Source organism: Homo sapiens, chromosome 2 (genome assembly GCF_000001405.40).
Source record: "Homo sapiens chromosome 2, GRCh38.p14 Primary Assembly".
Classification (NCBI taxonomy): Eukaryota; Metazoa; Chordata; class Mammalia; order Primates; family Hominidae; genus Homo; species Homo sapiens.
The window spans coordinates 17854978-17882639 of NC_000002.12; the positions used below are offsets into that span (position 1 = coordinate 17854978).

The following is a 27662-nucleotide window of genomic DNA, read 5'->3' on the forward strand; positions in this document are numbered from 1 at the left end:
TTTGACCGCTTTTCAAAATGGGGTTGTTGTTTGCTTGCTGAATTAAGTTCCTGATAGATTTTGGGTATTAGACCTTTGTCAGATGCATAGTTTGTATTTTCTCCCATTCTTAGGTTGTCTGTTTACTTTGTTGATAGATTCTTTTGCTGTGCAGAAGCTCCTTAGTCTAACTAGGTCCCATTTGTCAATTTTTGTTTTTGTTGCAATTGCTTTTGAGGACCTAGTCATAAATTATTTCCTAAGGTTGATATCTAGATTGGTGTTTCCTAAGTTTTCTTCTGGGATTCTTAAAGTTTGGGGTTTTACTAAACAATTATTTTAGATTCAGAGATACGTGTGCAGGTCTGTTATATGGGTATATTGTGTGATGCTGAGGTTTGGGATGCAAATGATTTCATCACCCAGGTAGTGAGCATAGTACCCAATAGTTAGTTTGTCAACTATTGTCTCCCTCTTTTCTTCTCCCCTCTAGTTGTCGCCAGTGTCTATTGTTCTCATTTATATGTCCCCAAGTACCAATGTTTAGCTTCCATTTATAAGTGAAAACTTATGATATTTGTTTTTCGTTCTTGGAGTAACTCGCTTAGGATAATGGCTGCCAGTTGCATCCTTGTGGCTCTAAAGGACATGATTTCATTCTTCTTTATGGCATGAGGCCCTGCTATCTTAGTGTCCTGCTCTTCCTTACTCCTCCAGCATTGAGGAGCACTTGAAGCCATAATGTTTCAGTGTTGTTGATCTGGGCTTTGAGGGATCAGAAGAGGTAGTTCCTCAGTTAACCAGAGAAGAAACAGGATGCAGGTCATGGAAGAATAAGGTTTCCGTGGTCTTAGAGTGAGAGTTGGCCAAACTTCCATAAAAAACAGAAAGTAAAAATTTCAGGCTTTGTGGGCCACGCAGTCTTTGTTGCAAATACCGTACTCTGCCAGTGTGGCTGATAAGGCAGACATAGATAATATGCACATGGAAGGGTGTGGCCATGTTTCAAGTAAAGCTTTATTTAATGACAGTAACATTGGAATTCAATATAATTTTTATATGTTATGAAGTAATACATAATTTTTATTTCAATAGTTTTTGGGGAACAGGTAGCTTTTGGTTTCATGGTGATATGGTTTGGCTGTATCCCCACCCAAATCTCATCTTGAATTATATTACTTTTGCACCAACTTAATAGTTCCCATAATCCCTACGTGTGGTGGGAGGGACACAGTGGGAGGTAATTCAATCATGGGGCTGGTTACCCTCATGCTGTTCTCATGATAGTGAGTAAGTTCTCACGAGATCTCATGGTTTTATAAGGGGCTTTTCTCTCTTTTGCTCAGCACTTCTTGCTGCTGCCATGTGAAGAAGGACATGTTTGCCTCCCTTTCTGCCATGATTGTAAGTTTCCTGGGGCCTCTCCAGCCCTGCAAAATTGTGAGTCAATTAAACCTCTTTCCTTTATAAATTATCCAGTCTTGGGTATGTCCTTATAACACCATGAGAATGGACTAACATACATGGATAAGTTCTTTAGCAGTAATTTCAGAGATTTTGGTGCACCTGTCAACCAAACAGTGTACACTGTACCCAGTGTGTAGTCTTTTATCCCTCACCTCCCTCCTGCCCTTCCCCTCAAGCCCCAAAGTCCATTATATCCTTCTTACGCCTTTGCATCTCCATAGTTTAGCTCCCACTTATAAGTGAGAACATACAATATTTGGTTTTCCATTCCTGAGTTGCTTCACTTAGAATAATGGTCTCTAACTCTATCTAGGTTGCTGTGAGTGACATTATTTCATTCCTTTTTATGGCTGAGTAGTATTCCATGGTGTATATATACCACATTTTCTTTATGCATTCGTTGGTTGATTGACATTTAGGCTGGTTCCATATTTCTGCAGTTGTGAATTGTGCTGCTATAAATGTGTGTGCAAGTGTTTTTTCATATAATGACGGTTATAAAGCAATATTCTTTAGATTTTTTCAACCTTTCTTAGCTTGTGGCTGTGGCTTATAAACTCCTGTTCTTGATTGTTTCCTAGATTATGTTCTAGATTATGTTGATCAATAAATATAGCCTTGGGTGCTCCCTGCAAACAGTTTATCTTAAAGACCATGCATGTGGGAAAGCAGACTGCAGAGGATGTTCTAGCTCACTGCAGACTCAAATGCCAAAATCCATGGGCTTTCCTGCTGCACATCCCCCACCTAGGCAGGCCAGCTCAGCTTTGTTCCTCCTCTTCTCTCTTGGTTATGAAATTCGCAGAGGAAAGTGACTGTCAGTCTCAGTGATGACTAACGTGGTGTCCTGCAGAGTATGTGTGTGTAGAATTCACGGAGGAGGTTTTGCATGTTGGAGGAGAGAGCTCATCTCCTCCAAATGTCTCTTTCCCCAGGAGAAGGAGGGAGCTCCAAGAGGAAAGCAATTAACCCAAGACCATGCAGCAGCTCAGTGGCCAGGCAAGGGGTAGGGTGTAATTATGTGTGTATTCAGAATGTGCGTGTTTAAGAGCCATTTGTGGTTCAACACCTTAGGTGCTGCAGGGAGACAGATGGAAGGGCTTTCTGAGGACACATCACTCAGTGTAAACACAGACTCTTTTCCTTCTGTCCTCCGTTTTTCCCCTCCCCCCTCCCTCCCTCCCTCTCTTCCTTCCCTCCCTCCTTTCTTTCTCTTTCTCTTTTTCTTTCTTTTCTTTTCCTTCTTTCCTTCTTTCTTCCTTTCCTTTCCTTTTCCTTCCTTCCTTCCTTCTTTTCTTTCTTTCTCTTTCTCTTTCTTTCTTTTCCTCCTTCCTTCCTTCCATCCTTTCTTCTTTCCTTCTTTTCTTTTCTTTTCTTTTCTTTTCTTAGGTTCTCACTCTGTTGTCTAGACTGGAGTGCAGTGGCAGAATCATGGCTCACTACAACCTAGACCCCCTGTGCTCAAGAGATCCTCCCACCTCAGCCTCTCAGGTAGCTGGGACCACAGGCACTCACCACCACATCCAGCTAATTTTTTATTTTTTGTAAAGATAGGATTTCCCTACGTTGCCCAGACTGGTCTTGAACTCCTGGGCTCAAGCAATCCTCCTGACTTAGCCTCCCAAAGTGTTAGGATTACAGGTGTGAGCCACTGTGCCTGGCACAGACTATTTCTTATAATCACTATCCTCAATTGGCATACAACCAACTCCTCCCTCCCACTTCTTGGGGAGATTTCATAGGTTTTGGTTTGTTTATTTATTAAAATCATTTGAGTCTAGTTTAAAATGCCAACCTCATATGTCATTCAAAACCGTTCTTGCTTATCCTAAGCCATTTCCATGCTCCAAGGGCTTGGAGAGACCACTGGAGCATGGTCTGCTTTTCTTCCTTCTTTTTTCTCCTCCCCTGCCTCCTCCCTTAGTCAGCTGTCACTCCAGTAATGGGTGGGAGCACAGGTGGGGGCAGAGAGGCAGTGGTGTTCTGGTAAATGGTTGACAACAGGTTCTCTGGAAAAATGCCCTAATTTGTAGTGTTTACAGGTTTCTGTGGGGTAAATGTCCCATCACAGCTGATTTCAAGCTCCCAGCGTGGTGTTACTGAACATGGAATTGGGAACAGATATGCATAACACACTCTTACAGGTTGGTATGAGTTGGTGTGTGCTGGTGTGAACTCACTGCTGGATGAGGGACAAAAGGTCAGTCTCTAGCTAAGTCAGCACAGGTAATCCTCTCTCTGCTGATTGTCACTGCTACTCTGGCTGATGGGGATGCATTTTTTTTCTTTCATGTCTTTTTCTTTAAAAACAGTTTCAACTTTTATTTTAGATTCAGGGGAGTATGTGCAGATTTGTTACTTTGGTATATTGTGTGATGCTTAGGTTTGGGGTACAATTGATCCTATCACCCAGGTACTGAGCATAGTACTCAATACTTAGTTTGCAACACTTCCACCCACTACCTCCTCTAGTAGCCCCTATAGTTTATTGCCTTCTTTATGTCCATGAATACACAATGTTTAGCTACCACTTATAAGTGAGAATATGTGGAATTTTATTTTCTGTTCTTTTGTTAATTCACTTAGGATAATGGCCTCTAGCTGCATCCATATTGCTGCAAAGGACATGATTTTGTTCTTTCTTATGGGTGTATAGTAATTCTATGGTATATATGTACCACATTTTCTTTAAATAATGGGCTCTTGATGTTCTCTGTGGGCTAGCTCCTTAGTGGGCTTCCAGGGCCTCCCTTTTTGTGAAGGATAAAGCAACTCCATCTTGGATGCTAACCTGCCATGTTGACTTCCGATTAATCCCAGTTCTGGGGATGCCTCTAAGATTTCTATTTTATCTACTGTTACTGTAAATCCTGCCTTTAGACAGATTCCATAGCATTCTTGCCTTTCCCTGAGGGGTCCACTACAATTGTCCTACACATTCCTTCCTTATGGTACGGAAGCCCTGGGTCTAAAAGATAATGGTGCAGGGATCCACCATCCCATCTTGCCATCCCATCTCGTGGCACCTGGTACATGGCTTCTGTTCATAAATCCTTAATAAAGATTTCTTTCTGAGAAACTGGATTTGTCAGCCTCTTTCTTTGGCCTTTGGTGGAGTGTTTGCACAGACCTGCTCACCGTAGAACACCCCTGCTTAGTCTCTGCATTTGGGAGACCCAACTCTTCCACTTCCCCTCAGTTCCTGCCACCAGTGCCCAGGCAGGGCCTCTTGTTGGTAGGGTCCTTGTGCCAGATGGGCAGTCCTCCCATGTGAGGTGCCTGCAAGGTGGCCCAACCTGAGCTATGTCCCGTGGCGTCTACTTGACCTATGGGGAGTCACACACCCCTGACAACAAATCACAGGATCACAGGCAGCTCAGCCCCGCTATGGTCTGAATGTTTGTGTGTCCCTCCAAAATTCATCTGTTGAAATCCTAACCCCCTGTATGATACCAGACACTTGGCGGGGTGGTTGGCCAGGCACGGTGGCTCACGCCTGTAATTCCAGCACTTTTCAAGGCCGAGGCAGGCAGATCACTTGAAGTCAGGAGTTTGAGACCAGCCTGGCCAACATGGTGAAACTCTGTTTCTACTAAAAATAAAAAAAATTAGCCAGGGGTGGTGGTGGGCACCTGTAATCGCAGCTACTCAGAAGGCTGAGGCAGGAGAATCGCTTGGACCTGGGAGGCGGAGGTTGCAGTGAGCCAAGATCATGCCACTGCACTCCAGCCTGGGCTACAGAGTGAGACTCCATTTAAAAAAAAAAAAAAAAGAAAAAAGTTAGTTATTATTACAAAGGCTTCTTTCAGTTATCCTAACTTAACATGTGCCTGACCTGACCCAAAGAGAAGGTATCCAAAAAAAGGGAACTCAGGAAGAAGGAAGTCAATCATCTTGCTCGTTAAAAATATGTGTTTCCTTACTTCACCAAGAGCACACCAAGGATAGAAACTGTACTGAATCTAGCTTGTATTCCCGTTTCCTCCCTCTCTTCCCCTCTATCCTGCCGCTTGGATTTATTGAAAGCATTTTTTTTTCTACTGAATTGGACTGCCCCACCTTTCCAGAGCTAAGAGTATACATTACAGAAGCTTCTTAGTAATTGTTGAAATGCAGGCAGTATCCTGCCATCCCTGAATCAAAGCATTCCATAGAACTGAGCTAAGGAAGGTCTCATTGTAGCATCTTAGCTCTGAGCAGAATGGTGCCCAGGAGTCTGAGAAGTAAGGGGCTCACCTGGAGAGGGTTCTGTGTCTGAGCACTGGCACCTTGTTGAGAATGAACTTTTCAATCAGAAGCCTGAAACTTTTTGCTTTCCTGCATGAATTTATCAGGTCGTTACCTGCATGGAATCGCCTGTAGGGGAAAGTGACCTAGGCAGAGAATTTTATAAATGTGTGTCTTCCAACATGGGCTTTTTTGAGAAAGTTGGATTTCTTCAGGGGAGAGCAGAGATCATTAGCAATGTGACAGAATTGGTGGGAGGACATGAGTAGCCAATAGAATCAGTGGTCATGTAGGGAGCCTAGACAGGTTCCAGGACAGCAGTATTGGATGCTACAGGTTACCTGAGGCTGTGGATTTGTGTACATATGTGGGGGTGGGGTGCGGCAGGGGGCATGCAGGAGAAGCACAAGTAAGAGACAGGTTGCCAGGTTTAGAAATATATATATATATCTGCTTGTGTGTATACATATGGTACACAGTCAGAATTTTTTTGTATAAATGTGTCCAATGCAACATTTGTAAGATCTTTTGAAAAAATAGTTCTGTCAAAGCAATGATTTAGGGAGCATATTAAGTAAATGACATGTGTGAGTTTTAAAATTCATAAGTATTCCCACTTGTATTGAGATAAAAAAATCAGAAAAAATTAAAATATGTGTGAATTATGGGACACTAATTAAATGAATTAACAGTGGTCCCAGATTTGGAATACCTTAATCTGTTTAGTAGTTGGCCAGTGGTTTTCAGATTTGATTTTAGTTGTGAGTGTTACTACATAAATCCATGGCTGAGGAAGAAAATAAAGAAACAGGCTTAATTTTTTCAGGATGATGATGATGATGATGACTTTTATCATTTTGGTCCTCTCCAACATGCCAGCCTTTTTCCAGCTGCTGGTTGAGAGAATGCTTGGGAATATGAATGGTTTGGTGGTGCCTGTACATTTTATTTTCTATAGAAGGAATTGGAGGGCTATTAGACATGATTCTCTGAGTGCTAGTCTGCCCCAAGAAGATAGGAATATCACTTCCCTGACAAGTGAGAATTCTCTGGCATCTCTGAGAAATAAGTGGCAGACACTTTTCCCACCAGGAGTAAGTCCTGATCTAGAAAGGTTTCCTCCCTTGAGTGAATGAGGATCACCAATCAAGAGAGGTGGATAAATTGGGAGAGGTGTTTAGAGGATAATTTGGACAGTTAGAAAACTAGGATTACAAGTTTCTCACCAGGTAACAGACTGTCAGGTGCATGCAGGGCTGAGATGGATGGATGAATGGGTGGACGGATGCATGGATGGATGAATGAATGGATGAAGAAATGAATGGATAGGTGGATGGAAGGATAGACGGATGGATGGATGGATGGGTGAAGGGAAGGATGGATAGATGGATGGATGGATGGATGGGAATATTAGTCTCTGAACTTGCTCTAGAGAGAGATAAACTGAGGCCTGTGAAAAGCAGTCTGAACTCTGATGAAATGGCTAGACGAGGGTTCCACATCAGTGTTTGCTGACCTTAATGAGCCTTTCATATGATGTACTAACACCTGTTTCAAAGGCTTGGCGGTGGTGTTCTCTCAGGAGAAAAGAGGAAAAACATTTGTAGTAATTGTGGAATTTGTAGGATCCATCTAAAGGCAAGGTCCAATATCCTATTTATAATGTGGAACTATAAGCAATAAAGGTGTAGGTGATGTGCCCCGGGTTCCAGCTCTAGTAAACATTAGTTTTAACATTACCATTAATCAGTGTAAAGGTACAGAGATGTGGGTCTTCTGTCCTAGTTCCACCCTCAGACCATTGGCATGAGCAAAAAAATGAGAGACCATGGGTCTGCAATGAGAGGCCATGGGTCATCTGGAATGACCAAGGATCTGGTCTCCTAAAGAAGCTGGTGTGGCTGATGGCCTGGGGAGATCATTGAGGCAGGAGGCTGACTCACAGAACTCACAAATAATGTCATTCAAATCTTCCCAAGATAGGGAAGAAAGAATGCTTGGCAAAGAGCTCATAAGATTCAGAAGTGCAGACAGCAGTGGAGGGAAAGAAACGGGCCTTTCTGGTGGCAAATTTGATTACATTTCCGGTTGCAAGTAACTGAAAAATGACCGACAAATTTAAGCAAAGGGTAATTTCTTGGGAATTCACAGAGTTCATGAGAGTTGAGAAGATCATAATTGGGAATTGTCAAGAATCAAATGCAGTCTGGATGGTTAAGAAGCAAAAAGCAGAAACATTGCCAATTGATCAAACCTGCTGCTACAGGCACTGCCACCACCACTCTGACAAACCATGCCCACCATGTGCCCCAGGTTTGCATCATCTGTTTTTATACAAAGCCATGGGAGGGAATGGCTAATTGGCCAAATGTGGATCTCAGGTTCTAGGAGGTTAAATTGCTCCCTTTTCCTGAGAAAAAGTAATGACTTGCCATTCTTCAAGACCCATCCATCTTTTGCTCTGATCAATCTTTTAAATTCAATGAATATGGACAGTAATTACTAGCCTTACATAAAGCCTGGACACAATACTGAGGGGAAAGGAGTTGACAAGAAACCTTGCCCATTCCAGTTTGGATTCTGGATGTAATAATTTTTTTCTACTCTCACGGTCAGGTTTGGGGTTTGTATTTATACTAGTTCTTATGGTCCACAGAACTACCAAGCCAAGATATTAGCTTAAACTTGATCTCTAGATGGTAACACATATGAGAAAATGAAAACCTTCTAGTACAACATATTCTGAAACCATGCTTTATGGACATCTTGGCTGTGTGGGTTGAAGTGTCCTTCAGGATGAGTGTGGGGCTCCCTGTGGCTATTGGAAGGAACCAGATGGAAAAGCAAGAGTGTTGGTTCAAGGGCTGGGGACCTTTATCTGAGCTCTGGTTATGGCCCCACAAATGTTTGGAATAGAGCTGAATCTATGGGTTGCTTTACAAATCAGCTTTTGCTAATTACAGATCTGGTCAATTGGCCTAACTAACCACTTGGTGAAAATTTCTCACTGACTGTCAGCTTCTCAAGGCAGGGACTGTGTGTGGTTAATACGTAGTGAGACAATGTTTTAAAATATTAACCAGAGTGCTTCCCCTTCCACGATTTTTGTACATAATCTTCTATTTAGTCAGAGGCATACTGTTGCTTCAGGGAGGATTACCGTTGAATCCGCAAAAAGAAAGAAATGTTAGAGTTTCACTTTGGACTTGCAAAATAGGCTCTTGAAGCCCAAAACAATGACTTTGAGAGAAAAGGATTAATTATTGAAGTTCAAGAGTCAAATCCTGGCACAAACGACAGACGGAAAAGACAATAGTTGAAGAACCAGTTTTCTACACAGAGCTCGCCATGAGATGGTGGGAAATCCTTTGGGATTTAGCCTTGAGAGAGTTGGTAGAGGCCCTATGAAGGGGAGAAAGCTGGAAATCCCAGGCACATTTGGAAAAATCCCATGGCAAAGGATACCAATGCCACTTTCACAAGCAATATCTGCTTCCAGCATGGCGATGGAACCAGAGTAGTGACAGCTGAGTGAGCTATCTGGAATTGAGAGGCCAAGTGCCTTACAGGTGCCTTGAGTGAAAGGAAAGGGGCTGAGTTTCTGAACCCTGCAAAGGTACTTTGGAAATGCTGTAAGTGATGGACCAGAAGCACTGGGGTCAGGGCCATGAGGGAACAGAATGCATTCAACAAGCAACTGAGGGACCAGTGAGCAGGAGGACATCAGTGATGAGTCATGGTTATAGGATGAGCATCAAGCAGTGGGGAGCCCATCCCACCAGAGGCCAGTGTGGGCAGAGGCCCACTGTGGATACTTTACTCCACTTACCTTGTTGCTGGGTGGTACACAGCCCTCCCTGATCACAGATACTTGAAGGGATAAGGGAAGGAAGGGGGCAGAGAAAGAGCCTGAATTAACAGAATTTAACTCTAGGAATTACCAGATTTACCTGGAATTGCTAAAATTGTTTTCTGCTGCCATAAATTCAGCAATAGAGAAATAAAGACAATTAAGAATTTGTACCTCTAAATCTGTGCCCTTGAAATTCACATTTAATAAAATATCAGTTCTTTGTACCCAGCCTGGTACAATGTGAATGTTAAGAAAACATTTGTTGACTGGTGGAAAGAGTGAATGGAAACATAGCTCTTCTGACTGCCAGGAAGACCATATTTGGAAGCCATGTTTCTAGCCCTTTACCCTAAGGGATTCTGCTTGTCATCATATGACAGTATTTGCTGACTCTGCCCTCGGATAGTTTACATATAACAAGAATTTAGTTCAACCAGATTACTTACAGCCCAGTACTTCATTGTGAGAATGGAAGGGTATGCCTTGAAGTTTATTCAGGATTTATATTGATGCTCTTCATTATCCAACTAGGAATTTATTTTGTTTATGAGAAATTTCTCTTTATATACAGAAAAGGAGTATAGGTACTAAGGGCCAGGAAGAACAGTGAAAGATAATTCACATTTATTATTCTCTATTGTGCGTGGTGGGGCACTGAAACCTCAAGACAAACTTGTAAGTAAATGTTAGTATTATCCTCGTTTTAGAATGATTAAATTGTATCTTTGGTTAGTGCACTTGGCACTCAATAGAACTTAAAATGTTGGTTGAATAAATTAACGAATAAAAGTTGAGCTACATGCTCAAGGCTATGCAGGCCGTAAGTGGTCCTGCAACAACTCGGAAGCCTGTATCTTTCCACGAGGCTGTGAAGCTCACGCTACAGTTGTAAATTAGCTTCTTGGTGATTGTTTCAGTCCATTTGTGCTGCTATGACAAAATACCTGAGACTGGGCAAACTATAAATAACATAAATTTATTTTTCATAGTTTTTCAGGCTGGGAAATCCAAGATCAAGGTACCAGTAGGTTTGGTCTTTGCTTCCAAGAAGGCCCTTGTACGTTATCCCCTCACATGGTGGAAGAGGAGGAGAGTAAAATCACTCCCCTAAGCCCTTTTATAAGGGCTCTAATCCCATCCATGAGGGATCTCCTCCTAAAGGCCCCATCTCTTAATACTGTGACATTGGCCATTAAGTTTCAACACATGAATTTTGGGAAACACATTCAGACCAGCGATTGTTTGTTAAAACTCTATTTTTTTTTTTTTTTTTTTTTTTTGAGACGGAGTCTCTGTCTGTCGCCCAGGCTGGAGTGCAGTGGCGCGATCTCGGCTCACTGCAAGCTCTGCCTCCCGGGTTCACGCCATTCTCCTGCCTCAGCCTCTGGAGTAGCTGGGACTACAGGCGCCGGCCACCAAGCCCGGTTAATTTTTTGTATTTTTAGCAGAGACGGGGTTTCACCGTGTTAGCCAGGATGATCTCGATCTCCTGACCTCGTGATCCGCCTGCCTCAGCCTCCCAAAGTGCTGGGATTACAGGCGTGAGCCACCGCGCCCGGCCTAAAACTCTATTTTTTTATGGTCTTGGATTTCTTGGTCATTATTGTTTTGACTCTCCAAAGTACTTGGATATAAGCATCTTTCTTCAAGGCAGGAGATAAAGGGAGACTTCAAGATAGACAAGATGGAAACTGAGCGGCCATAACTCCTGTGGCCTCTATTTTCTTTCTTTCTTTCTTTCTTTTTTTTTTTTTTTTTTTTTGAGATCGAGTCCCTCTCTGTCACCCAGGCTGGAGTGCAGTGGTGTTATCTTGGCTCACTGCAACCTCTGCCTCCTGGGTTCAAGTGATTCTTCTGCCTCAGCCTCCCGAGTAGCTGGGACTACAGGCATGTGCCACCATGCCTGGCTAATTTTTGTAGTTTTAGTAGAGATAGGGTTTCACCATATTGGCCAGGCTGGTCTCAAACTCCTGACCTCATGATCTGCCCACCTCAGCCTCCCAAAGTGCTGGGATTACAGGCGTGAGCCACTGCTTCTGGCCTTTTTTCTTAGTAAGTAGGTAGACAAATTCTCTGCTGTGAATGAGACCTGGGGATTGAATTGGTATGAAGATTTCCAGGGTTTAGAGTGGGGAAGACTTGGATGGGGTTTTCTGGGAAATGTTGAATAAACTAGAGTTGAGTAAAAGGTTTGTTGAGTAGCAGAGGGAATCCCTAAATAATTTATGAGGGTAGTTTCTCTAAGCTCACAAGTTGCTGATGGCAGAAGTTATTATTCTTCAGTTGCAGATGAGACAACTGAGAATTTGCCAAGGTTCTACGATTTGTATCAACTCCTGTAATTATCTATCTATTTTTATGGAGTTGGCTATCAATATTTATTTCTCAATTATTTGATAGAATGTCACTTCTTGAGAGCAGAGACTGTGTCTTCTTCATCTTTGTGTTTTCTTAAATCCTGAGCATAGTGTACAGCACTGAGGAGGTTCTCAAAGGACTGGGATCAGAGCTAGAGGCTGAGCTCAAAGAGATAGCAAAATATACAAGCAGTGATCGAATCAATTGAAAATTGCTTGTCTAGAGGAGCAGGCCTGGAGCGGGGAGGACAGGAGCTCAGGGAGGAGCTTAACTCACACTCTCATGCAGTATCCTCCATGAAGGTGAGGCCTCTGGATGTTCAGACTGCCCCTGGCTCATCAGGATTCTCCTTCTGACCCTGGAACTTATGTGTAGTAGGGAATCTGCCTTTCTCTGCTTTTCCATGAATCCACCTTCACCATCAAGGACTGACTACTAAGCTTTCTTGCTCTTGCTCTTTATGACTCATCACACCACTTCCAGCCTTGTATAACCAAGTCCTTGAAAATAATAACTCATAATAACGTAGTGTTCTGGTGAAGGGAAAATCCAGGGCCTTCAAAATTGCAGGAAATCCACTGGAGCCTGCTATTGAGTATGGATGTGAAAGTGTACCTGTGTGTGGCTATGCATGCGTGTGATGCATAGTGTGGCTTCCTGAAAGTACATGTCCATCCATGCAGGTAAGCGTGTGCATATGCTTGTGAATGAGGGTACATGAGGGCTCAAGTCATGTCTAGCTGATTTATTGTCCTACAAGTTCACCTGCTACTTCAAAAGAAAATACAATTTTCCAGACTTCTCAGTCATAAAGTGACCTGAGCCCAAGCATTGATTTGAATCTCCTAAAGATAGTTGTGAAAATACCTGCATTGCTCAGCACCACCATATCACTTGATATTCCAGAAGTTAAAAAAATTCTTGAAGCATGTTAGTTTTAAAATAAATCTCATGAGATCTTTAGGAGCTAAATAAAGTAGGGATTATGTGTAATACTTATTAATATTAAATATTTTCGTTCATCAGTTGAGAGTGGAATCAGTTGCATTAATACACACATACACACACATCTATACACAAGTTAGCTGTTTGTTTCTCAGGTGAGAGAAGTACAGTGATTTGCAGTATACAACATGGATAAAATAGCCCTGCAAAGAGGTGAGGGCCCCATATTCCAATTAGCTCACTCTTTGCCATCCCTAAGGTGTACCCATTGTTCTCATGGCCCCAAATGGCTGCAAGAACTCCAGTCACCTCATCCACATTCTAGGGAGGAGGTTGGAAGACAAAAGGGAAAAGGGCATGGCTCCCCTTTTTAAAAAGACTCCCTGGAAACATAAGAGAATGTATAGGCTTACATCTGGTTCTAAAAGTTGGTTTCTCTACACTAGTTGCAAGAGAGGCTGGGAAATATAATGTGTTTAGTTGGGGACATGTCTGCCCCATAAAAACAGGAGTTCTGTTACTAAGATAGCAGGGCAGAATGGAAATTGAGTGACAAGTGGCAGTTCCTGTCACATTATATGGTGCTTTTATCTCTCAACTCTCTATCCTGCTATCCTGTTATTCTAACACTCTATCTGGTGGATAAGGCCGATGATGTCAGCCCACTGAATTGTGAGCTCTTACAGGGAGGAACCTATTATTCGTCTTTTTTATCCTGTCTCTTCAGCTCCTTTCTTTAGCTTTGTGTCTGGCATATTAGTAAGTTCAAAATCCCCATTTTACAGGTAAGAAAATGGAGCCAAAGGGACATAGTGTGACTTACAATGTGGATTAATGAGACTTGAGAGCAGAGTCAGTCTGCTGTCACCCAGATGCTGGAGACTTATCACCCATTGCTGCCGTGGATTCCAGAAACCTGGCATCATTTTCAGGTGCTGGGGGATTTGGAGAAGAAAGCAGTCTTATATTACAATCTTATCTTTCAGGTCCTGGAAATGCAAAAATATAGCCTGTCCAAGCAGTCACCATTTTAATTCTGAATGACATTTCTCATTGTCCTACAAAAAAGAACATGTTCCTAGGAGTGTATTTTTTTTAATGTGTTTTTTCATTTTTGGCAATGAAACATGAAGTCAGTCAGCACAAGGTAGGGTCTTTTCAAAAGCACATAAGAGAGATTCTGCTTGATTCCCACCCAGGTTCCGGCAGTGCCTCAACCTCTGGCTGTTACCAACATCCTGTCCTGGCTATGTTCTTGTTTGCTTTTATTTTTGTTTGCATGAGCTTCTACCAGACCTAGGCAAGGTGCTAGGTGCTTTATGTATATCATTCCCTTCAATTTCTCAACTCTTTAAGATAGGCATTTGTTCTGATCACCTCCTAGTCATTCCATTGGTAAAGGAGGCCTCCTTTGCCCTAAATAGCATGGGATGACTGCACACAGGACACGTGACACTTGACACGTGGTTCTGACGGCAGTGTATTAGTCACATATACTCGCAGCCCTGGGGTGGAGGATGCTGCCTGCTATGCAGGGCCACATGGGGTGGCACTCAGGAGCAGAATGAACCAACAGGGACTGTGGGAGGCAGGCTTTGTAATGACAACAGCGTCAGGTGCCTCTTGGTTTCCTTGAGAGGATGTGATTGGCTTTATGAGTAGTTTCATGGGCTGGCAGGGAGGTAAAATCCACTAGGTTGAGTTAGGGTTAGGGGATGCAGCTGGTCCAGCTGATAGGGGATATAGCCAGGCAGGGAGCCTTTACCACTGTGTGGGGGCATATCTAGCGAGAGCATGGGAACTCATGGCTAAGCCTCTGGAGAACTGTGAGGCTCAAAGATGTCAGTGGCACGTGGAATTTCAGACTTTACAATACAGTATCATTATCCTCATTTTGCATGAGAGGAACTGAGGCACAGGTGGGCCAAGGTGACTTAGCTAGTATAATGCTGAGCCTGACACCATATAGCTTTTCCTTTCCTCTCTATTGCTCTGTATCAAATCATCTTGTAAATGAGGAGGCCGAGGATCAGAGAAAGAAATGATGTGCTCAAAGTCACTCAGCTAGAGAGGGACGGGGTTAAGTTAAAACTCGAGGTGTGGAGTCTAGTGCTCTTCACCTGCTGGGACAACTGCCTCTGGCTGCATTGGTCCTGACACCAGAAGACTAGTCACAGCCTGCTGGCTTCCACATCTCTGGGCAGGCAGAGTAGAACGTGACTTTGGTAATGCCGACTGAAATATCAGCAGGGTTCCTGCAGTTTACTATTTCTTAAAGGTTGAACTGGAGATTGGACTGGTAAGTTTTTGTTTTTAGCTGTTCTGTAGAGAAATAAGGATTGAGACAATCTTACTGTATCCAGGGATGATACTGAAATATTTAGCAACTGCTAGAAAGACTGTCAGTTCTAGCTGCCCCAGACATTAACTCTGTAGTTTTTGAGAGCGTGGAAAATCTGAAGTGTCCCTGGGACAGGGCTGGGGCAACAGGAAGGATGTTCATGGGGCTTGGGGGCGTGGCTATTTACCAGCCAATGCAGAAGCATTTCAATATTCTCATATCAGCTCTGTTCGTATTCTAACCAGCAATCCTGCACTGTGTATATATCCCCCTCACATTCTCCCCATGTGCATAAAGTGGCACATGCAAGGATGTTCATCCCAGTGTTGTTTGTATTGGGGGGCATTTGGGGTAGTTTGGGCATCTGTCCCTGGGGAGTGTTGGGCAGCATGTGGATAACATGATAATAATGAGAAACAGGCCAGATGCACCCAGAGCAAGAGTGATGGAGCTAAAAACACCCCACCGTGTGGAGTGGAACACAAGAAAAGACTGAGATAAAGGACAAATTACCATTTACATAAATTAAAACAGTATGCATTCAAAACAGTCATATACATTTTATAGGGACACATGGAAAAAGAGACTATCAATAAGCATGTTAGAATGGCTGCCTATATGGCTGGGCATGGTGGCTCACGCCTGTAATCCCAGCACTTTGGGAGGCCAAGGCAGGTGGATCACTGATGGTCAGGAGTTTGAGAACAGCCTGGGCAACATGGTGAAACCCCATCTCTACTAAAAATACAAAAAATTAGCCAGGTGTGGTGGTGGGCGGCTGTAATCCCAGTTAATTGGGAGGCTGAGGTATGAGAATTGCTTGAACCTGGGAGGTGGACGTTGGAGTGAGCCGAAATTGTACCACTGCACTCCAGTCTGGGTGACAGAGCAAGACTCCGTCTACGGAAAAAAAAAAAAAAATGGCTGCCTATGGATAGTGGGTTGGCCATGCAAGTGTGGAAGAGGGAATAAGCAAAACGAACAAACAAACTAACAAACAAACCAGGAGAGAGGCCTTGTACATGCTAATGATGACAATATGCCGTAACTGAAGAGTATGGTCAAGTTAACCCTCTGCATCCAAGGGAAATAAAAGAAGGAAAGAAAGATGAATAAGTCAGTGCAGCTGACCAACACTCCTCAATATTTCCAGCTGTTCATAAAGAGGAAGAGTGAGGTGCATTCAAGATGAAATGACCTGTGAGTTACTGCTTACAGAGAGTGGGGCGTTCACTGCCCACTGTGCTCATCCAGAAAGACTTTTTGAACCCTTCTCACCACCATATTTTGAAATGGAAGAATTTCCTTCTCATTATTGTGAAAAGAAATGGTGATTTTTTTTCAAAAGAAATTTTAATGGAAAATGAAACAAGACAAAATATGTAGAACAGAAAGACATTCAGAAAAATAGTGTCTAAACACACATTTTCTTTTTTTAAACCCTAAGAATGAGTATTCTAGTCCCCAGGCTCCTGGCTGAGCCTGTGCCTGGATGCCTGGCCTTGGGCTCCCTTCCTTGCCCCAGGCGGGCCTCAGGCCCTGACCTCGTCTCCCACCTCCACTTGAGGAGCACATTCAGGGTGGTTACAGCTGACTCCAGGCCCCTTTTCTTTCAGAGGATAGGGGGCAACTTCCTCACAGATGCAGCCTAGTGATGCCACGTGTGGCCCTCTTGTGTATGATATTTAGTTTAACACAGGCTTTCTGGAACACATGGGAGAACCTGGGTGCCTGTGTTGTGGGGTGATGGGTTTCCACTTGAGCACTTAGAGAACCCTTTGTCTCACGATGATGGACACTCCTATTTCCTTCCCTTCCCCAACCCTGGGTCACACTAGACCTGTCATTCCTCTTTATATCACTAAGAGCCGGGTAGTGAGTTTGCCAGTTATTTCCCACAGGGCTGAAGGAAGGCTCTGTCCTAGCAGCCTTGATTCTGGTAACATAGGGTCTTTCTTTCTTTCTTTCTTTCTTTCTTTCTTTCTTTCTTTCTTTCTTTCTTTCTTTCTTTTCCTTCCTTCCTTCCTTCCTTCCTTCCTTCCTTCCTTCCCTCCCTCCCTCCCTTCCTCTCTCTCCCTCTCTCCCTCCTTCCCTCTCTTGCCTACTCCTCTCTTTCTGTCTCTCTCTCTCTCCCTTCCTCCCTCCTTTCTTCCTTTCTTTCCATTCTTCGTGGGATTCCTTAAACATTTTATTTGAATCTCATTTATAAATATTTTAACTTATAAGAACTAATGAAAACCATCATGAAGACTCAAGAGTGCTATGCCAAAACTGTAACACACTGAAACTCATCAACAGGTTGAATACTTCTGACACAATCCCCCAGTTTGCTCATGCTTTAGAATAAAACTTCAGCTGTGCCTAGCACTTATCAGAACCTCCTCTGGCTTAGAGTTGGGAGCTCTCAGTGGCCTGCACATGGGAGGTGGGAGGGAGTGAACTGACTGCCATTGTCACCTCACCAGACACACAGACTAGGACCTGGTACCTGGGCCAGAAGGTGTGGGCTACTCTCGCCTTCAACATAGGGTATTTTCATAATACAAGGGACTGGGGAACATGAAAAAGAGGGATCTTCAGATGCCAGCACCCAGGTGTGAGGGCGACATCCGAATCCCCACTTTTCAGCAGGCAGAAACTCTACCCTTGAAGATGGATGTGAGTGACAGAAACCACAAATAACAACAGCTGAAATGAGATGCTAGTTTCTTTCTTTCATATAAATGAGGGCAGTCCAGTGCTGTTAAGAGGACCTAGGCCCCTTCTAGCTACTCATCTGACCATCCTTATTATGTGGCTTGTACCTGTGGGTTCAAATGTCTATCCAGATCCAGTGATCTTCTCTGTGCTCCAGAGAGCATGAAGGCAAAAGAGGGAAGGGGAAGGGCACTCCCCTCTTCCTGTGAGGACACTGCCCAGAAGCTGAATGTGCCACTTCCACTGACGTCCCATAGGAAATAAGTCAGGTACATGCTGTCCTCTCACTGCTAGGATGTGTAGATTTTATCCTAGGCAGCAATATCGCTAGGAGGATGGCCAACTGTCCTGGTTTGCCCTGGAATGTAGTGGTTCCTGAAATGCTGGACTTTGAATTTTAAAACTGGGGCAGTTTCAGACAAACTGGGAAGAGCTGGTCACTCTAGTACCCAGTAATACTTGGAGATATTATTACTGAGAAAGCAGAAATGATCATGAGGGTATGCCCAGGATTCTTTGTCATGGGGATACTCTTCATTTGTCTAGTTGGAAATGAAGGCTGTGCCTTAAGTTCCACCCCACAAATGAAGGGCTACTAAAGAGGTGCGAAATGCCCCCAGAGGAACAACCATGAGGATGACATATCTGGTCTTTGCTCCCTCTTGGTTTGCTTTCCTATACCTTCCCCTGTTGTCTTTGTTCATCCATCCATCCAGTTATCTATGCAGGCATCCAATCATCTCCCTTTTCATTCATTTTTTTTTTTTTGAGATAGAGTGTTACTCTGTCACTCAGGCTGGAGTGCAGTGGTGCAATCTTGGCTCACTGCAACCTCCGCCTCCAAGGTTCAAGCGATTCTCAGGCCTCAGGCCCCCGAGTAGCTGGGACTATAGGCACCCGCCACCATGCCTGGCTAATTTTTGTATTTTTAGAAAGATGGGGTTTCACCATGTTGGCCAGGCTAGTCTCGAACTCCTGACCTCAAGTGATCCACCCACCTTGGCCTCCCAAAGTGCTGGGATTACAGGCATGAACCAGCACACCTGGCCACTTTTCATTCTTAAAGTATTTGTTGAGCATCTATAATGTGCTCTTAAGATATTGAGATGAACAACACCACTTAGTTCCTGCCCTCAAGGAACTCACAGTTTAATCCATCCATATAGACAATGAATGATAGTACAGGAGTCTAACTGTAATCGGAGCTTTGTACAAAGTATAATGGGACCCAGTAGAGCAAGCAACTAAATTTGCTTTGCGAGTCAGAGAAAGCCTCAGAGAATGGGTGACATATACTGGATCCTGGAGATTAAGCAGGCATTTTCCGGTGGAGAAGGAAACACTATAGGAACGAGGCACCAGAAAGGCAAGACTCAGATGGCATGCAGTGAGCATAGAGGAGAGATGGGCCACTTCTGTCGGGCTGGAATGTGAGGAAAGTGCAGAGGAGAGGGGAGGGGAGGTGGTGATGAATGAGTAAGGCAGAGAGAAAGGTGTGAAGAGCTTGAAATGTGGTAAAAAATCAAGTTGTGACCAGAGTATGAGCAATCTGGAAGGCCATCCCTGGAAATATTTTCATGGGCTAACTTCTCAGACAGAGCCTTTCCTATACTAGAGTGTTATGAGGACCTGCCAGTGTGATGGAGTAAACACCTTCCTTTCCGTGCCTAGGGTCAGGCACAGGTGTTCTGTGGCACTCACCTTGGGCAATACTCAAGGGCCTTCAGAGGGTGATTCTGAGTACCTGAGGACAGCATTCCTTTGTGCCTGGAGACATAGCCTGTCACAGGGTTTTTTCTTTCTTTAATAATTTATAAAGTGTCTCCTTTTATCTATAGAAACATAAAGCTTTTAGACCTGGCAAGGGCCTTAAAGATGATATAGTCCCAACCCAAATGTAGGGCCCAAGAGGAAATATCACTGAGGTAATCAGGGACAGAGCTGAATCAGAATTCAAGTCTTTGTACTTGAAGATCATAAAGATTTAAGGAATTTTTCTTTTTCTTTTCTTTTTCTTTTTTTTTTAGACAGGGTCTCTCTCTGTCACCCAGGCTGGAGGGCAATGGCACCATCTCTGCTCACTGCAACCTCCACATCCCAGGTTCAAATAATCCTCCTGCCTCAGCCTCCCAACTAGCTGGGACTACAGGCATGCACCACCATGCCTGGATAATTTTTGTATTTGTTATATAGGCAGGGTTTTGCCATATTGCCAAGGCTGGTCTTGAACTCCTGGACTCAAGCAATCTACCCGCCTTGGCCTTCCAAAGTGCTAGGATTACAGATGTGAGCCACTGCACCCGGCCTTAAGAAACTTTTGATATAAAAATAATACCACAGGGCAGTTAGAGTAAGCATACAATAATTTTGTGAAAAGAGCATGATCATTGTAGCAATAATCTGAAATAAAAACATTCTAGCTGATTGAGAACTAAATTTAATTTAATGTAAATTTAGTTCTGAGCTTCCTGGCAGCCAAGCAAAGACAGCGATATGATGGTTTACATGTTTTATTTTTACCTGGCAAAAGGTAGCGTAGAAATAAGGGATTTAGGTTTTGACTAGGATCAGATGAAACTGGGCAGCCTTCAGTAATTCACTTCACAAACATGCAGATCCAACAGAAGTTCCTGGAAATTCAGTCTTCAAGGAGCTTATTGTCTAGTGGAAGACAAACAGTTAAAATCCCATATGGTAGATTCTATGAAAGTGGGAGGCAAAGGCTGCTGAGGGAGTGTGGAAAGGAAACACACAACACACAACCCAGGATGAGAGAGGCGGCTTCCCAGAGGGTCGTGATTATGATGTGATTATCCACTGAATCTCATCCTAAGGGAGAAGGGGTCTGTTGGGCAAAGCAAAGCTTGGTGATGGGGAACTGTGTTCTTAGCTGAGGAGGCACTGCTGTGCATTCAGAGAGTCAAGAAAAAGCATGGTGGGTCTGGGGAGTTGCAGGTGTTTCATGTGCTCAGACTAACTGGAGTGATATTCAGGCAGCTGGGTAGAAAGTGGCAAGTGAGAGGCACACACCAAATAAACGCTGCTCATTATGACTATACCCCTCACTCCCAACCTTCCTGCCAGAGATGAGCACATCTTCATTTTCACCTGCAGACCTGTTCCAATTTAAGAAGCTAATGAGCACTTCCCTTTCCTTCAGGACTAAGGCAAGTACTAATCTAGCTGATTTCTGTCATTTGAACTTTAGTGAGAATAAAAAGTCGGGGACAGGTTTGGCTCTGGGGAGGGAAGGGAAGACATGGATGTGTGATAGGTGGGTAAGAGAGGGAGACCTCCAAACGAGGCCTGGAAGACAGACTGAAATGCATCCCACATTAGTGGCATGTGTCTCCATCCACTCCAGGAGTCCTCTGAAACCACAGAGGAGTGAGCATTATTGTCAACGATGATTAAATGATTGACCCCTCACAGATTAAATGCATGGTTTATCTAGATGTTTCTCTATAGGCACAGTTAATTAAGAGGGAACGGGATGTCATATCGGGAGGCATAAAGACTGGGCAGGAAGTGGGTGTGTGGGGAAAAGGAGGCAGTTAGTTCACAGCATGCCCCCGGTAATGGAGACTGGGGTTGGGGAAGGGGCTACATACCGTGTGTGTGAATTTACCACTTTGCCTAGCTCAACCTTGGTCAACATTCAAGAGTAAACTTTTGGGGAGCAGACCTGCCTCAGGGGTCATCCGATGTGGTCCTTTTTATTATTTCATTGGCTTCACATGATTACCCTGGGAGAGAGGAAATTTCCTTACAGATGACAAAATCAGGGCTGAAAGACGAAGTGGCTCCCTGCAGGGCTCAGCAGGGTAAGAAGTCCTGTCTGTCTCTGTCTCAGATCTGTGGCCCTTCTCTGTGCCCACTCCTACATGCCCACCGTGGAGGCCCACCCCTTCTGTCCTCAGCTCCTGCAGATGCACAGGGGCCCTTACTGGCTCCCACTGTGTGTGCCTTCCCGACTGCTCACATGTTCCGCCCAGACCCCAGGAGAAAGACCTCACTGCCAACTCTTCTGCACTGCAGGTGCCTTCTGCAGTGCTTAGAGATTCTGAACATATTTCCTTCTCAAGTAAACCATGCTGGACTTTTTGGATAAACTTAGTGATTTTAAAATGATTAAATAGGTAACTGCTGGGAGAGATCTGGAAGCATTCTTCTAAGGTGTTGATAAAATGTAAATATATTTTTAGAACAATCTTAGAGCTTATGCTAAAGATGAACTATGTAAGAAAGTTACCTTCTTCAGCCACTTGTAAATAGCAGTGTGGACCAATGCTTTGGATCCTCTTCCACAGGAGAGGAGACAAGATTGGAGGAACCAAAGAACCATGGAATTAGGGACAAATGGCTCAGAACAGTGCTCTGCAGACACATGCATCTGTACTTTGCTTCCCAGAAGCCAAATGAAACTGTTGGAGCTTGGTGGGCTCCAGGCCTCAGGGGGAAGACCACCCTAGGCTTTATCTTTTCCTCTGCCCTTCCTGCCTGCTGTTAGCCTCTCCTCTGGACCAAAACTCCCTTTAAGGGGAAAACCTCCTCTTTGAAGCCCACAAGATACGGTGAGGATTACTGCCTTTTTCTGATTTCCAACGTGGGTTTTTCATTAAGCAAAGAACAATTAGAAAACCCACACATAACATAGGGTATTCAGTAAGTTCAGGAAAGTGTTTTCCACCATCTCTTTGCCCCCATTCCCTCCCCAGCGCTTGGCTCAAGGTCTGGAGCTTGAATCTGCATCGTCTTCCTAGGTGCTTGCCTGAGGTGAGTGGTCAGCGGGTGCTGGCTTGGGGGCAGCTGGCAGGGCGTATGCTGCGGGTAGGAACCCAGGGAACACTGGGCGCCTTAGCTTGGAGCAGCTGGCTCCGAGGAATTGTTCCACGTCTGCACAACTTAAAAATCTGCAGTTTGGGGGCGGGAGGGGGAGCGCGGGGGTGGGTCCCGAAGCGTCCCATTTCTCCTCCTGGCTGTTAACTGAGCGCTCTCGCTCAGTGCAGCGAGGCCAGCGATGCCTTCTGGACCACACGCTGTCCTCGCCGAGGTCCTGGTTTGTTCCTCAACGTCGGCTGAAGGCATCGTCCCCTGACTTCCTCTTCCATTCGTCCTTCCGAAAGGGGACCCGACTGGTTCCTCTTCTACATATGAGGCGCATCTGCTTGGTGCAAATGTCCAAGCACCTCTTCTGACTCGGTGAGTGGAGGAATAAGACAAAGCATCTTGTTCTGCACTGTGCCTGAGTCTTCAGGCAGCGGGACCGATGGCAAACATTGGCAGGAACTGGAGCTATATGTACTCTCCTTCGCACTTTGTTTTAAAACAAGTTTGGGCCTCGCGATTTCCTGAGGAAATCCAGGCAAATTAGCAAAGTGTCGCTTGGGCCGCGACTTTAGAAAGGCGGTTGCCCCAGCCGCCGGGGCCGCGGGGGAGGTCATCTTTTTCCCGCAGGGCCACGGCGCTTCCGGCCCAGGAGGGCGCGCAGGTGGGAGGCGCGGGGCGCGCTCCTGGTCCCACCCGGACAGCGCCTGCCGCTCCGGGGTGACTCTGCACTTGGGCCTGGGCGGGGGCGCGCGGCCGGCAGGGCAGCATCTAGGTCTATGGGTCTGTCCGCCTGTCTGGCGGTCGGAGCCCCGCAGTCCTCAGCCGCCCGCGCCCTCGGCCCGGGGCGCCCGGCTGCGGGCCCGAAGCGAGGGGCTGGCGGAGCTGCGACCAATGGGGCGGCGGCCGAGCGGCGGGCCCCGCCCCGTCCCGTCCGGCCCCGCCCCGCCCGCAGCTCCCGGGAGCCTCGCTCTAGCGGGGCGGGACCGACGGACAGACCGGCCGACGCGGGCCACCCCGCTCTCCTCGCCGCCGCGGCGGCAGGCGCGGGGCCGCGCCGCGAGGCCTGATCCCTGCAGCGCGGGCAGGCGGCGTCGCAGAGCGGAGCTAGCTGGATGCGTCCGGACTCCTGCAGGTACCTGGCTGGCGTCCCCACCTCCCTGCGCGCTCCGGAGACTTCTCCGGGCGACCCTGCAACTTTACCGCGCCTTCCCCCACCTTTTGCTGCCCCAGTCTCCTGTGGTCCAGGTCGCGGGTGCACGACCCCGAGGGTCTACGGCCGCAGAGCACTTTCCGTCCTTCTGGGCGTCTGGCCCGCGGCGCCCGCATCCTCTGGTCCCCAGAGCCCGCCGTCGCTGGAGCCCTAAGGCTCCGCCTGTTGCGTGAACTGCGGGCTGTTGAAGCGGTGGCTGGGTTGATTTGAAAGCCTCGGGGAAGGTATTTAGGATCAGCTTTCGGGGAGTGGGGTGGGCTATGGTCAGGGGGAGGACCACCTGGAGGCGGGAGAATCGATGAGCCGAAGAAAGGCGGCACCTCGCGTAGGGGCATCCCCGGGGCGTTTCCTTGGCCGGGAAGCCGTTCCTTCCCTTCCTCGAGAGGAGGCGCTTTCCTGGCGCTTGTAAATGCTTCCCGGGCCGTCTGCTCCGCCTTCTTTGTCATTCCTCCCCTCCCCTTTGCCCTGCAGCTGTGCTAGGCGCCCCGCGACAGTTGCAGGGAAGAGCGAACCCAGGGCCCTTGCTCTCGTGCAGCGCTGCGCCCTGGGTGGGGACGGCGTGAGGCTTGCAGCGCAGGTGTGGAGTCACTTGCGGACTCTGCGTTTGGATCAGTGGCAGTGGTGGGGAAGGGTCACCCCGGGGTCAGGAACTCCTCTTTTTTTTTTCGCGCCTTTCTGGGTGGCTGCCCGACCTCCTGAGGCACCTTGGCTAGCAAGCGAGCCAGTCTTGCCGGCAGGGGCCGCGGCGAGCCTGGCTGGGCGCCTTTCGCATTGCAGGGCTTGTCCTGCACCCCCAACCCCGCTCTGTCCCTTCTCGTTCATTTGGAGAAAGGAGCACCTTTTGCATTCTTGATGTCTCCCCCCGGTTTTGTCTGGGGAGACCGAGCCGAAAGCTTCACTCGGGTGGCCCGCAGCAGGGGCAGAGGACAGCAAAGAGCTACCTCCACCTGCCAAAATGACCCAGGGGCCCTGGTTTGGTGCCAAGGCGTGAAGTGGGGGGAGGGGCGGTAGGTGTTCCTTACGTTCCTGCCGGAGAGTAGCTTTGTGGTTGGCCCGGAGCCTTCGTTCGGGTTTTTTGTCTTTCACCCTACCCTCTGAAAATACTGGAGCAGATGAGTACAAACAGTTCAGAAGCCTTTCCTGTTTCTTTCCCTGTATTTACTCAAGCGATTTGCGTAACCATTCACTTGGAACTGTGTAAGTCACTCCTAGTTGCCCCCCTTCTTAGACTATTTGCAAATACCTGCCCAGGTAAACAGGAAGCACGCACCTATCTCTTAGCTGAAGGCATATGCCCTCGTGCTTTGTCTTCCCTGCATATCTGGAGCCGAAGAGGTGGCTTTGATTCTCTAGCTGAACTTGGTGTAATGTGCAGGCTCCACTTCTTACCTGGGTGGTGACCTTCTTGAGGAGATTGACTCGTTCAGTATGCATTTCCAACCAGCCCGCCATGGGCCAGGCCCCAGGATGCACTCGGGGACAGACAGCAAATGGATGATATAATTTCTGCACCCAGTCTAGTCTGTTCTTTCTTTCTCACCAGCTTCCCTTCTTCTCTTGTTCTAATATTATGTTTGTCGTTTCTGAACTAGGAATTGTCAATATTGGGATCCGGAGAAGGTCATATGAAGGTGCCATAGAACTCTGAATCCAAAGCATGTTGTGAATATACTAAGGAGACTTGCGGGATCAGTATTAATTGAATCTTTTGTCTGACCCATAATTGCCTGAATAGAGCCATTGATGAATGCAGCTACGCTAAGGTTTTGCTGGTCAAGTGTATGAGGGCAAATTGGGAGGTCAGAAGCAGTCTTTGTTCTGTTCTGAAATATTATAATATTAAAAATCCAAAGCTCTGGAGCTTGAGTTTGCCAGCAAAGCACCAACTGAGTATCATCATCTTCTTTTAAGAAGGAAGGGGGAGAGTGGGAACTGCAGCTCCCTCCTGTCTTCAGTGGGTTTTGCCCTTCACTGTAATTCTTCACAGACGTGCATCCCTCTGTTCTACCACCCATCTCAATCTGCCCTGTGTCTGGCATTTGCCATTGGAATGTGTGTCAGCTTTGAGAGAGTAGGCACCACAGGGTTTTCCTCCTCCTTTTCCTTCTATTTTTTAATAGATAACATTTATTAGCTGCATACTATATATCAGATACTCTGCTAGGCACTTTTCCAGGCATTATCTCATTTAATTCCCATAACAACTGCATGAGGATGTGATGCTTGCTTTCTTCACTGCAGTATTGCTGTGGGAGCCAGCAGTAGATGGAACCCCCCAGGTGCATGTTGAGTCAGATGGGAGGCCAGTGGGAAATGGTGGGCCTGAGGTCTCACTAGGAGGAAGGACGACTCTGCAGGGTATGTTGAAGCAGAGAAGGTGGGTGTGTTTATTGACTCTGCTTATCAGGTGTCAGGAAAGTGCATCTTCCAGAGTGCCACCTGTGTGAAATACCCACAAAGAAACATCATAGAGAAGAGAATAGGATGTGGGGACCCAGTTTCCAGCTGTGATATCTATTTCTTTATGGCTCCTTGACTTGACATGTCATTTTGCTAATCTGGGTCTTGGTCTGTTTAGCTGCACTGACCTAGATCTCTAATATTTGTTGTTACGCTGTACTAGGCACTAAAAGCTAAAAGCTTTTACATGTATGAACTCACTTCATCCTGATGACAATCTTAGGATGGTAGGTTCTATTATCACCGTATTTTACAGGAGGAAAGAGAGACAAACTGAGTAACTTGTACAAGGTCACCCAGCCCGGAAAAGGTGAAGCTAGGATTCTATCCCTTGCAGTCTGACTGCAGAGCCACTGTGAGATTCAGTTTTCCTCATTTATTCCTACAGTTCCAACACTGTTCCCTGTGCTTAGTGGGATCTCGGACTACATTTGTTGAACAGTGACAGAGGGGGCTTACAGTTACCAAGTGACTTTTGGGTCCCATGTCTCAGCCTTAAAAGGAATCTCAAAGACTGCGTTAGCAAAATATTATTTTTGCCTTTGACAAAATGGTCTGCTTTTCGGTGAAATTCTGCCCAGCTGGTTAGGAAAAAAGGAAGATAAACCATAAAGATCATGGGCCAGGGAAACATTATGGTGAGTTTCAGAAAATGTGTTTATCAATATAAGAAATTCAGAAAAACCACAGAACACTTTGTACTCCGACGCAAATTTGTCAAGTAAATCAACCAGTGACCAATTCACAAGTGCTTATTGTATGGGTGCTAAGTGCCCAGTACTACAGGCAATGAAGGTAGGCAGAATCTATGACATGGTCTCTGAGCTTGAACTTATAGTGGATCTGGAGACTCCAGATCAGTGAGACAAGATAGAACAATACAAGATGCTAAATGTTTAAGTCCTGATAAAAATCACAATGACTCGGTCACATTTGTATAACCTATTGTGGTTTGTAGGAACTTTCACATGGGATATCTCATTCCAGTCCTCAGAGCAACTGAGAGTTATAAGCTATAGGTGGGACAGAAGTTAGGAAGCCCATATTGCTGATGAAGAAATTAAGGCAAACTGAGCCTTGAACTTGGACACAGTCAGGGGTCTTCTGACTTTAAGTCCAGCATCTTTCTGCCTCACTTCTCTCTGGAGCTAGAGAGCAGAACAGGAGGGAGTGAGCTATCGAGAGTCCTTGGGGAGTGGGGAACTGAGTTTGAATTTCATCCTGGACCTGGCCTTTGCTTGCTGGTCTTGACTACTGTGGGTGCTTATTGGAGGCAGGGGATGGGGAGTAAGTAC

At 45.7% G+C, this 27662-nt stretch overlaps 1 protein-coding gene and 1 long non-coding RNA gene across 4 annotated transcripts in view, besides 3 other annotated features; one reads left to right on the forward strand and one right to left on the reverse strand.

The window, feature by feature from the left end:
* Positions 1–12614: 12614 nt before the first annotated feature.
* Positions 12615–21585, reverse strand: LOC124907737 (uncharacterized). Its single transcript, XR_007086226.1, has 2 exons — positions 20388–21585; positions 12615–13764 (listed from the first exon to the last, which is right to left on the reverse strand). It is a non-coding gene; the product is annotated as an uncharacterized LOC124907737 (long non-coding RNA).
* Positions 22870–27662, forward strand: part of KCNS3 (potassium voltage-gated channel modifier subfamily S member 3) — a 55112-nt gene continuing 50319 nt past the window's right edge. For 2 of the 3 annotated variants that reach the window (XM_011532825.2, NM_002252.5), the window contains exon 1: positions 23690–23829. The gene's annotated coding sequence lies outside the window, so the exon portion shown is untranslated. Of the gene's footprint in view, positions 23070–23689; positions 23830–27662 lie in introns of those variants that run through there. The other variant, NM_001282428.2, reaches the window with a different exon arrangement.
* Positions 23301–23460: a silencer, noted in NCBI's record as "silent region_11192". NCBI's record gives its function as "represses an Ori minimal core promoter by ATAC-STARR-seq in GM12878 lymphoblastoid cells {active_cell/tissue: GM12878}" and the evidence as "EXISTENCE:reporter gene assay evidence [ECO:0000049][PMID:35858748]".
* Positions 23471–23670: a silencer, noted in NCBI's record as "silent region_11193". NCBI's record gives its function as "represses an Ori minimal core promoter by ATAC-STARR-seq in GM12878 lymphoblastoid cells {active_cell/tissue: GM12878}" and the evidence as "EXISTENCE:reporter gene assay evidence [ECO:0000049][PMID:35858748]".
* Positions 23761–23810: a silencer, noted in NCBI's record as "silent region_11194". NCBI's record gives its function as "represses an Ori minimal core promoter by ATAC-STARR-seq in GM12878 lymphoblastoid cells {active_cell/tissue: GM12878}" and the evidence as "EXISTENCE:reporter gene assay evidence [ECO:0000049][PMID:35858748]".